Source organism: Homo sapiens, chromosome 4, assembly GCF_000001405.40.
Source record: "Homo sapiens chromosome 4, GRCh38.p14 Primary Assembly".
Taxonomy (NCBI): domain Eukaryota; kingdom Metazoa; phylum Chordata; class Mammalia; order Primates; family Hominidae; genus Homo; species Homo sapiens.
Window position 1 is genome coordinate 169,592,176 of NC_000004.12, and position 12,476 is coordinate 169,604,651.

Consider the following 12,476-nt stretch of genomic DNA (forward strand, 5'->3'; position numbering starts at 1 on the left):
GTGAAAATTTTAAATTCACATACCATTTGAAACAGCAATTTCAATTTCAAATTTATCCTACAAATAATATCAGAAATATAAAACCATGTATATAAGATATTTACTACAGCACTGTTAGCCAGAACCCAAAAATATAAACAACCTGAATGTTCATCAAGGGGCCTGATTAAATATATTGTATGATCCCTATACTAGAAATACTATGCAGTCACTGACAAGAATGAAGCACTTCTATGTATACTGTTTATGTACTATTAAGTGAAAAAAGGAAGTTCCAAAACAGTATGCATAGTATACCCCTATTTAAAAAAATATGCTTATATTCCATACCTGAATCTATGTAATTGTGTGTGTGCACTGAGGAAGGAAAGAAGGAATAAAGGAAGGAAGCATAGAAGGATAGCTACCAATCAGTTAACAGTGTTTACCTCAGGGAAGTGGATTGGCAGAAGAGGGAATGAAAGGTAACATGTTTACCTTTTACTCTATCTCTTCAGTATTTTTTTAAAAAACAATTTTCTTTAAAAAAAAAAAAAACTCTCAGTTCAGTTCTATAGATATTTATTTAATGAGGATTACATAGATTGTTAAGTTCCTTTCTATACTCACGTAAGGCATTTTAAGTATAAAGATCAAAAACAGTTCTCTAAGGAGTCCGTACAGTGATAAGGAATATACTCACAAATACCTATAATAATTGCATAAGCTTTTTAACAGAGATATATACAATAAGACAGCAATTAATTCAACAAGGGAGAGGTCAGGAAAAAGAAAGTGAAAATTATGTTAAGTTGAGTATTACTGATAAAATGGAGTTTACCAGTAGAAATGGAACACATCTTAGAAACCACTCATGTCTCATTTCACAGACAGTGTTCTTCTATTACCATATTTCCCATACTTGTACTTCTTAATTTGACAAAAATTTATTCAGTACCAACAATGTACCAGATATGTGCAGGAACTAGCAAAAAAAAAAAAAAATTAATGAAAGAGCTCAGAGATCAGGGGTCAGCAAATTTATTCTATAAATGGCCAGACAGTAAATATTTTAGGTTTTGCAGGCCAGATGGTTTCTGTCTCAACTCAAGTCTTCCATTATAGCATAAAAGCAACCACAGATTATAAGCAAACAATTAAGTTTAGCTGTGTTCTAATAAAACTAACAGAGATAGGGGGCCAAATTTGGTTCATGGGCCATTGTTTATTGATCCATATCAAAGACTACTGGGGGAGATGGGTAAGTAAACCAGTAATTAAAGGGAGTAATGCCCTGAGTTGAAAAAGCATACAGAAGGAGCGGCAACACAGTCTGGAGGTGATAAAATAAAGCTGGACAGAAGAGGTGATTTCTGAGCTCAGTTTTGATGGAATATGTAAGCAAAGCAGAGAAGAAAGGCACAGCTTATAAAATATAAATGTTACATTTTCATTCCCTTTGTCTACCCTAGTTCAGACTCTTGCTACATTAGGGTTTGACCACATGGGGTTGGACTTGGAGGAGAGGGAAGCCCTTTAAAATTGTAACCCTGGTCAGGCGCCGTGGCTCACGCCTGTAATCCCAGCACTTTGGGAGGCCTAGGCGGGCAGATCACGAGGTCAGGAGATCGAGACCATCCTGGCTAACACGGTGAAACCCCGTCTTTACTAAAAATACAAAAAAATTAGCCAGGCGTGATGGCGGGCGCCTGTAGTCCTAGCTACGCGGGAGGCTGAGGCAGGAGAATGGCGTGAACCCGGGAGACGGAGCTTGCAGTGAGCCGAGATCGCACCACTGCACTCCTGTCTGGGCGACAGAGTGAGACTCCGTCTCAAAAAAAAAAAAAAAAAATTGTAACCCTGCTTCTAATCTGTGCATTTTATTTCATCACACATTAGTTCCATATTAATATTTACAAAATACTGTTTCGAAAATGGGATTCTCTTGCTCAGAAGACTTTTAAATTCAAATGTTATGTTGTATTATATCAAGAACCATACAGTAATTATCATATAGTTGTCTGAATTACAGTTGTATGTTATTTTGCATTAGTACAGACGGCCTTATAGCACCAAACAGTACCACAATTCATCTTCTCTGCTCCAAAACTGAGATTTCTATGTGTAATAAAATGTATTAGAATTTTCCCAAAGTATGCTCAGTTTTGATGGGTTTATGCATTAATTTTTTAAAGGCATGAGCTTTTATTGCCAAACATTATACTAATGGAAAAACTTGAACTTGGCTTCTCTATTAGAATGGTAAACTGATCTTGGAACTTCTAACCAGAAGAAAGTAAGCTTACCATTTACTGTCTGTGTAATTTGCTCAAAGAGTAGATATTTCATGTCTACCAGAATAATTTTCTCTGCTTTATACTGATTTTATCATTTGGTTATGTTTTTTGAACAAAAGTTCCTCACTGTGAAGATCCTTATAATTTTATTTCCTTCATCTACATTTTACAATATTTTGTCACTTTGATTAAATAAGTAACCAAAGAATGTTACCTATTTGTTAGAAAAAAAATTTTCAGGATACTTCTCACTAAAACTATTAGCTCAACACTGCTATACAACATGCCTGGGAAGACTTGCCAAATCTAAAAAGATGCTCAGTCTTTCCTAGGTTAAGTCTGTATAGCTAAAATACTATTAATATTTCACAAAATGCATGCTTTAGAGAAGGCCCTGGAGATTTGTCAGTAACTTTGCTCTCCATTTTTATCCTCAAGAAAAACATTCATCAAGCCCTTATCAAATCTATGTACTCTGCCCCAACAGAGCATTTTATTCTATTATTGGTTACTATAATAAACTAACCACAGCCTTTCAGTCTCATTATCAAATAGGCCTTTGCTGCTTGATGCTTGCCAGAAAGCTCCTGAAAAGGACTACACTAGGAATGCCAAACTACTGGCACTTCAGAAAATAGACTCTTGGGTACAAGTTTCTGACCTAACATTGCTTAAATGATCAAGGAACTTATCAATGAACTGAGTCAGAATTTCTTCAAGACTTTTTTGTACATAAGCTGACAAACATCATGAATGCTAACTGCTTGATCCAAGATCAAGAATTACTAGGAATGAATAAACTGAATTAAATAAAATTTAATTGTGGTTGTTTGGAATATGATTGGTATTATTTTTAATGTTCAAAATTTAATGAATAGATGAGGAAGCCTTTTTTCTTTCTTAAGCTATATCTAATTCTCAATTTAGATTATGTTTTTATAAACTTAAAATGATATTTGATCTTAATAATTTACTCAGAATTCAGAAGCAAATAGTTTTACATATTTTTACTTTTCAGGACAATATTGGTAATTTTCATGGGTTCGATAAGAATCTATATTCCTTTTTATCAGAATGTAATTGGACAAATCAATTGTGCAACCAAGGCCATACCTGGAGTGCCTTATTTGAGATGATTTTCATGTAATCAGTTATGACAAACCTACTACTAAGAAATATATGTGGAACCAGGCTGGGCGCAGTGGCTCATGCCCATAATCCCAGCACTTTGGGAGGCAGAGGCGGGCGGATCACGAGGTCAGGAGATCAAGACCATCCTGGCTAACACAGTGAAACCCCATCTCTACTAAAAATCCAAAAAAATTAGCCGGCGTGGTGGCGGGCGCCTGTAGTCCCTGCTACTCAGGAGGCTGAGGCAGAAGAATGGCGTGAACCCGGGAGGCAGAGCTTGCAGTGAGCCGAGATCACGCAACAGCACTCCAGCCTGGGGGACAGAGCCAGACTCCACCTCAAAAAAAAAAAAAAAAAAAAAAGGAAATATATGTGGAACCAATACTTACATAGTGCTGCCAGGAAACTGTCCTGTTATCTAACTTACAGGGTCCCTGCGTCGTAAATGGTAAAGTCACTTTCTAGCAACCAGGGACCTTGGCATATTTGGAGATTCTCAAAAAGAAAAAACTTCACTCCAATTTATAGGTACTACAGGTGAAATTTGGTAGAGAATGTATCGGGCTCAGTTTCCTGACGTTAGGATAGAAGAACAAATAATAAGAGTTTTTAAAAATCCAATCAAAGATTCTTTATGAAAATTTATAGACAGAAATCAATTCTGTAACCTTAGTAGTTGTTTGATAATATAATGCTCTAGGTTTTCAGAGCAAACTCAAGTTCTTTGTTTAATTAACATTCTTGCTGCACCTAACTATTTGGACCAACCCTAATGAAGCCAGATTTTATTTTGATCAAGAATATATTCTGAAAATTATTTATGGTCACATGTGGGGAGACTATCAAAAAAACTCATCCAAAACTTTCAAATAAGGCAAAAATACTGGTACATCTTTAAAATATCTATGTAGAGACTGTCCAAGGGAACGTACTTAGTTCATCTCATTATTTTCTATTAATAAAGTCATAGACTCAGGTTGCTTCTTAACCTGACTAGATTTTTGTCCAGTAAAGATGCAAACAGGAAGTATCACTGAAGAGAATGGCTTCAGTAGCTGGAGAATCATCTGTTTCACAGGTCTTCCTGTTCCCCACTTACATTCTAGAAAGGGACAAAATCATCTCAAACTGATGCTAAGCTACAGTTTAATGGAGCTCTAAGTTTTCCTGTTTCAAAGCCCAGAAAGTAGTTTAAATGACCTCTTCCTATTTTAAATAGGCTAAAATAAATAGCATCCTTATTTGTGCTAACAGAACTTGCTATTCAGAAGGGTAGAAAAAATGCTATTAACTTAAAAGAATGGCTTGCCAAATTTTTATCATTTATGATAAATAACTTCACTGATGGATGAACTATACAAATCTCCATAATAATTTCCAGGAAGACAAGATACACACACACATACACACACACACCACATTATGTACTAAGAGTACTTATCAAAGAGTAGAATCAAATCTATAAAATATCAATGTGCTTTATAAGGGAATATCATTTAATAGCAAACATTTTAAAGTTCGATAGGGATAAATGAATGAAAATAAGCACAAACAATGAAATATATCTGACAATGTTCTAATAAAAATAGCATTGTATATACTAACATACATTACTATTTGACCTTCACCACATGTATAGTAGGTATCTCCCTATTAACAAATGAGAAAATAATCTCAGAACTTGTTAACAGAACAATTACCAACTTGATAAGTAGAGCAAGAACTCAAACCCATGTCTGTGCCTGGCCAGAAATGGCACAGTGGCTCGTGCCTATAATCCCAGCACTTTGAGAGGCCAAGGTAGGAAGATTGCTTGAAGCCAGGAGTTTGAGAACAGCCTGGGCAATATAGCAAGACCTCATCTCTACAAAAAAAAAATAATAATAAAATAAATTTTTAAAAAATTAGCTGGGCCTAGTGGCACGTTTCTGTAGCAGCAGCTACTCCAGAGAGTGAGGTGGGAAAATTGCTTGTGTTCAGGAGTGCAAGGCAGCCATGAGCTGTGATGGTGCCACTGCACTCCAGCTGGGGTGACAGAGCGAGAGCCTATCTTAAAAATAATAATATCCCAGCCAGGCGCGGTGGCTCACGCCTGTAATCCCAGCACTTTGGGAGACTGAGGCGGGCAGATCATGAGGTCAGGAGATGGAGACCACCCTGGCTAACACGGTGAAACCCCATCTCTCCTAAAAATACAAAAAATTAGCCAGGCGTGGTGGCAGGCGCCTGTAGTCCCAGCTACTCGGGAGGCTGAGGCAGGAGAATGGCGTGAACCCGGAAGGCGGAGGTTGCAGTGAGTCGAGATTGTGCCACTCCACTCGAGCCTGGGTGACAGAGTGAGACTCCGTCTCAAAAAAAATAATAAAAATAAAAATAAATAAATAATAATAATATCCCATTTCTGAATGTGTGTGTCTTAATGTATATATGTACATGTGTTAAGTATGGAAAAGAAAGTCTGGAAGAATACACCAAACTAAAAGCAGTGGTAATCTCAGGAACAAAAGGGTGGAGAAAGAAGACTTTCCATTTCTGTATACTTCAATACTTTTATAATTCAAGTGTGTGAAAAGAAAATGTTATAAACTTTAGAGTTAGAGGTGGGTTCAAACACTGACTATGTGATTTGGGGCAAGTACTTAACCTCTCTTGGATTCCTTATAAATTGAAAAAACTTATCCAAATTAGAAGAGATAACAAATACAACACTCCTAGCACAGTGCTCCCTCTACTCCCCTATGTAAAAGCGGGCAATTAAAATTAAGAACTGGTGATAATGAGAAATGTGATAGGAATGTAGAGAAGGAAAATATCACAGATTAAAGTAGTTATGGAAAATTTAAAGAAGCTGGGACTTGAACTGAGCTTAAAAAAAAAAGGTAGAGTATTAATAACAAAGTTTGGGGAAAAGGCTTACCAAAATAAATGAAATAATCAGAGTAAATACACAGGAAGGAGAATGAGATGTACAAACATGTGGCCCGGTGCCTAACACAAAGCACATGCTCAATAAATATCTGTTAAAGCAAATGAAAAGAGGTACAGATTAGGGAATAGAAAAAAATAAGGCTGCTTAGGTAGGGAACGGCCATATTTTAGAGATCCTGGAAATCAAAAGAGAGATTAGATTTAATGCAGTTGTCGGTGCAAGGCTTCTAGAGCTGGAGTTACCTGGCAAAGCCACATTTTAGGAATATATAGTCTGGCAGCAGTAAGCCAGATTGACAGAATATAGACTAGTCAGTTATAATGAATAATTAAGGCATATACATAGACGCATGATATATATAACATACATCACAGAGATAACAATATATCATTACAGACTATAAATGAGATGGGCAACTGAACAAAGGTGGCAGCTAATTAGAGGTAAATATGAGTAAACTATTGATATACTAAACTTCCCTAGTAATTTTGATTAGCATTTGTAGTTAAAAACAAATACACACATAAACAAATTTTGAACTACTTCTCAATAATAGAGTAAGAGTCAATTTCCTAAATGCAAACTTACCTGATCCTCTTGAAACAAAACGCCTTTCTGAGCATTTATTCGCTTAAACAGATCCCCTCCCTCACAGTAATCCATTACTATGTAGAGAGAGCCATTTTCTACAAAATATAAACATTACAGTCCACTTTTAAAAACGTACATCAAAAGCATGGCTAAATTAAAAGTACTTAAAAGCTTACTAAAAAGCAGCTGCTGAACAAAAAACAGGACCATACTCAAAAGAATTAGGGCACAAAGTCAAGGTATACCGGTCACAAAGATTGTATAATGACTTAGGTTAACAGAAAACTCCATCATTAATGATTTCTATTAAAAATACACTATTTTATTGAATAGTGCTGTTTGCATTGACCTAAACATCTCTGAAATATAAACAAAATGCAGACATACTTGATTTCATTCAATAAATACAATTCCTTAAATGTCACACATAAAATCATGTTTTTCCACCAATATATCACATCAGAGATGGGTTATCTTAGTTTTCTGACTGGCCATTAATTCTCTGCTTTGTTTTATCCACTTTAATCACTTACTTATTAAATAAATAAAATAATAAGTGTTGTGATAAACTCTGAGGATTCAACAGTGTATAGGATACACTGTTTCCACCCTCTTTGAGCTTTCCTTAATTTTATGCACTTTTTAAAAAATTGCATATGATTTGTGAACAAACATGAAGATGGGCACTGCCCCATCCACCTTTATGTCTCGGTCCACAAAGAAAGGTACTTCTGTGCTTCTTCCTATGGATAGAAAGGACTACAAGAATACTTCTTTTTTTTATTTAGGCTTTTTTTTTTCTTTTAAGAAAAAGTGTCTCAATATTTTGCTCATGCTGACCTTGAGCTCCTGGGCTCAAGGGAACCTCTCGCCTCAGCCTCCCCAATAGCTAGGACTACAAGCCCATGCTACTGTGTCCAGCTTAGAAGAACACTTTGATGATTCTTTCCATCCCTTACTTCTTAAGTAAGGAAGAGTGGCCAATATCACTTTTAACATTTTCTGAATCACTACATAGTACTGAGACTATCACAACTCAAAGAACAGTTTTCCTAGTTCTCACTTCTTTCACTGACTGTGCTATGGCCTTATTTCCAGCAGTATTTTTTTTTTCTTTTGAGACAGGGTCCAGGTTAGAGTGCAATGGCACGATGATGGCTCACTGTAGCCTCGACCTCCCGAGCTCAAGCAAACCTCCCACCTTAGCTTCCAGAGTAGGTGGAACCGCAGGCACACACCACCACACCTGGCTAATTTTTTAAATTTTTGTAGAGATGGGGTCTACAAACACCCTATGTTTCCCAGGCTGATCTCAAATTCCTGGGCTCAAGAGATCCTCCCACCTCAGCCTCCCGAAGTTGCTGAAATTACAATTGTGAGCCACCGCATCCAGCCTCCAGGAGTATTTATTTCTTATACTTTGTGGTGACATTCTTGTCACTCGTGGTGCACATATCTTCTTTTGATCTACTGTTTGTAATGTGCCACTGGGATAAGAATCTATATGATAAAGCTAATTAAGAATCTGTATGACTTTTTATGATTGACCTGGAAAGATCATCCAAATATACATGTGAGAAATTATAATGTGAAAAAAACTCCTGAAAACTATAATTCACTATTTATATGTATATAGATGTTATAATGTATGTAGCATAACAAAAAGCAAAAAATTACATATACTATGCTATCATTTATGTTTGATGCTAGCATGTATTCTTCTAAAACTAAGAGAAATAATAAAGCCTTATTTTTAAAATACGCTACCCCTTTTGAATCACACAGATGTTTCTATGTGAAGCAGTCAATATAAATCCAAAACATCTGCTGGAATATTTGCTCAAAACCTTTTAACTTGAAATATTAAAATTTTGTTAACAACAACAAAAAAAGAAACTAAAGGATAGATGCCAGGAGAAAGATAAAGGAAAATTCAAGGTCCTGAAAAGGAAGAGTTGGTTAATTTTGTACTCTTTCACATGAAATATAAATCTTCATTTCACTGCCAGCATAAAAAATACAGTACCTTGTGACATAATGTATTAATTGAATCACATTTTTATAAAAGTAGAAGAGACTTATAGTAGACACAGAGTTCATCTGGGAATGTAGTAACTTTAGCTCTAATTCAGACTCTGAAACTGGTATGTGATATGTCCCTGAGTCATTTCAATTATCTTCTACTTTCAATCTAGATTACCTGGTTTTTAGTTTACAGAAATTAAGTTACAGAAATTTATAATAATGAGAATATTTGGGTAGGACTTCAATAAACCACTTTGACCTGCCTTTAGAGAAGCTTTGCCTTATCTTAATACCTGCATTATTAAATATAATGCATATAGTTCCAAAACAGCATTATAGCTATAATACTTTAAGAACCTGAGAAAACTTTCAACATACCTCACTATTATAATAGTGAGGTACAGAGGAGCATACTGAGTGAGGATACTTTCTAAAGATCAGAACATTTTCTCAGTGGTAGTGGTGGCAGCACTTACAGGAAGTTCAGTTAAAAAATATGTAAATTACTGTTCTTGCTCTGTCCAAATTCTTGCACTTACTGCATTGCTTCTTTTAAAGCAATCACTAATAACAGCCAGTATTAAATTATACAGGCACAGTTGGGAGGCTGAGGCATAAGAATCACTTGAACCTGGGAGGCAGAGGTTGGAGTAAGCCGAGATCATGCCCCTGCACTCCAGCCTGGGCCACTGAGCGAGACTGTCTCAATTTAAAAAAAAAAAAAAATGCAGGCATGATATCAGTATTGTCCTTGAATCAAGCTGATATTCATATGCGTATGTTTTTAAGCAAAAATGGTATCTTTTTCCTAAGAATGCATTCACAAAAAGATTTATTAATGTCTTAGGATTTTTTAACTCTCTCGCATAATTTATCTGACCTTCAAATGATTCTCTATACTGGACAATATTTGGATGCTTCATGTTTGCCAATACTGCAACTTCTCTCCTTGATTCTTCTCTTTCTTTACTGGACATCTTAAATGGGAGGAAAAAGAAAATAGTAAATGAAACCATTAATAAACAACCTAAAAGTCCATCAATAGGTGAGTGGTTAAAACATAATAGTATTAATACAGTTCAATCAACAAAATATAGCAAGAAGTTAAAAAGAATGAGTTGAATCTGTAAGTAGAAACATTTTAAGATGTCCAAACTAGATTAGGTTACAGAACAGCAAGTATATTTTTCTAAACACATAAACATAAGCACATATCATAGAAAAAATCTGAAAGAATATATAGGCTATTCTGATATTAGCGGGAATAAAGGAGTCTTTTGCTTTAGGTTATCGATTACTTTTTTTTTTTTTTAAAGAAAATCTCTAACAATGAGCTCTATTGTAACTAAACCATTACTCATGAAACCAAACTAAAAATATACTTACTCTTGAGATGTTAATTTCCTTGATAACATACTGTCTGCCATCTTCTGTAGATTTAACAAGAATGGCTTTTCCAAATGAACCTTCTCCAATCTTCTGTAGTCTAACATACTTCTCCATGATTCTTTTTCTAAGGCATCTTTACAGATATGCTAGACATTTAAAAAACTAACAAAAAAGATAAAGCATTTATAACATGAGATAAAACATTATAACTTCATAACAATTTTAATGTTTAATTCAAATTCTAATTCTTTAGTGATTTGCTAACATTTTAAAAAAGGATATTTAATATATTCACTAAAAGTTACACTTTATATACTTTACTAGTACAACCTAATTACATCCAAAAAAGAGAAAAAAATGTGATATTTCAATTTTATAAGAATGCTTTGGAAAGCCAAATACTGCATATACTTAATGTATGGAGAGAAAGGCAAACTTACATGAATTAATTAGTAGCATTACTTTATTTTCTCCAAAAAGAATGAAAACCTAATAATACACTATTTCTTGAAGTTATTTAACTAATCCCCTCTTATTCAACATTCGTTTAAAATGTTTGCTAGTATAGAACAATTTTGGATAGTTTTTGTACACATATTTTAATGTGCTTATTGTAAGGATTTCCTTAGGATAAATTCTGAATTCAAAGAATATGCCCATGTTACAGTATGGCTTTCAAACATATTAAGTGTCTTAACAGAACTGTCTACTAATACGTATTTAGCCAGTAGTGCCTGCTACTAGGTACCCTCATTAACACTGGTTATTATTATTTCTTGTATTTAGGGAGATGTTTACTGTAATGTCATTTATAACAACAAAACACTGGTTGTTATTTATTAAAATCTTTGAGAAGCAATAAAGGGTAGTAGTTAAAGAACACTAAAAAGTTTAAATCTTAGCTTTATCACTTATTTGTTATGTAAACTTAGGCAAGTTACTTATCTCTATGTGCTCAGTTTGGTCACATGTAAAATGTGAATAACCATAGTACATATTTACAGAAGTGTTGGAAGAATTAGTTAATGTAAGAATGTACTGAAAACAGTACTTGGCACATATGAACACTGTGTCACTATTTGTTATTGTTGTTACTCCATACGTCTAATGGGGAAAATGGTGTTTCGTTTTTATTTTGATTTCTTTTGCTTACCAGTGAATTTGAAAAATTCTTCCACATTTATTGAACATTTTTTTTTTTTTTTTTTTAAGACAGTCTCACTCTGAAGCCCAGGATGGAGTGCAGTCACACGATCTCGGCTCACTGCAATCTCCACCTTCCAGGTTCCAGCGATTCCCCTGCCTCAGCCTCCCAAGTAGCTAGGATTACAGGTGTGTGCCACCACACACAGCTAATTTTTGTATTTTTAGTAGAGACGGGGTTTCGCCATGTTGGCTGGTCTTGAACTCCTGACCTCAGGTGATCTGCCCGCCTTGGCCTCCCAAAGTGCTGAGATTAGAGGTGTGAGCCACCATGAGCGGCCACATTTATTGAACATTTCTATTTTTTCTCTTTTGAACTATTCATCCATGTTCTTTAATCATTTTATACTGAGTTGGTCTTTAATTTGTAAAAACTCCTTATGTAATGAAGTCCTTATCTGTCATAAATTATTTTCCCTTATATCCTAGTTGCCTTTAAGTATAAAAGATTATTTTGATATAAACAAATGTATTAATCTTTTCTTTATATTTCTACTTTTAGTATCACACTTAAACCCTTACCATACCAAAACAATTGATTAAGGTCATTAGTATCTTTAGGAATAGTAATTTCAAAAGAGTGGTAGTTTCAGGAGAAGCCAGAATACAATAAGCTAGCTAGTGAAAGCTGAAAAAAGTGTGAGAAAGAGTCATAAGAGCAATAATGTGTACAACCTATTGGCAATATCACCCTTATTGTAGACATACATGAATTTACTATGCTAATCTGAAACTAATAAACATTTAATTCACCTAGCTTGCTCTTTTTTATTTCCATTCATAGCAGGCTTCCAATGTGTGATTCCTTTCTAGGAGAAAATAAGTTTGTCGTGAAACTCTTTTTAAATTTCTGTGGCAGTTTACCATATTTCTCATTGTAAATTAAAAAATCCATGTTCTTATCTCATCCATCAGTGCCAAATTTGTTTTTA

The 12,476-nt window shown here is 34.8% G+C and overlaps 1 protein-coding gene across 26 annotated transcripts in view; it reads right to left on the bottom strand.

Moving 5' to 3' along the window:
• Positions 1-12,476, bottom strand: part of NEK1 (NIMA related kinase 1) — a 219,775-nt gene that overhangs the window by 199,367 nt on the left and 7,932 nt on the right. For 21 of the 26 annotated variants that reach the window (NM_001374421.1, NM_001374420.1, NM_001199399.3 and 18 more), the window contains 3 exons: positions 10,339-10,503; positions 9,833-9,929; positions 6,925-7,022 (listed from right to left, as the gene is read on the bottom strand). In NM_001374421.1, coding sequence (NP_001361350.1) covers positions 6,925-7,022; positions 9,833-9,929; positions 10,339-10,455 — 312 coding nt within the window. In that variant the 5' untranslated portion in view covers positions 10,456-10,503. Of the gene's footprint in view, positions 1-6,924; positions 7,023-9,832; positions 9,930-10,338; positions 10,504-12,476 lie in introns of those variants that run through there. The other 5 variants (NR_164630.1, NR_164631.1, NM_001440625.1 and 2 more) reach the window with 2 other exon arrangements.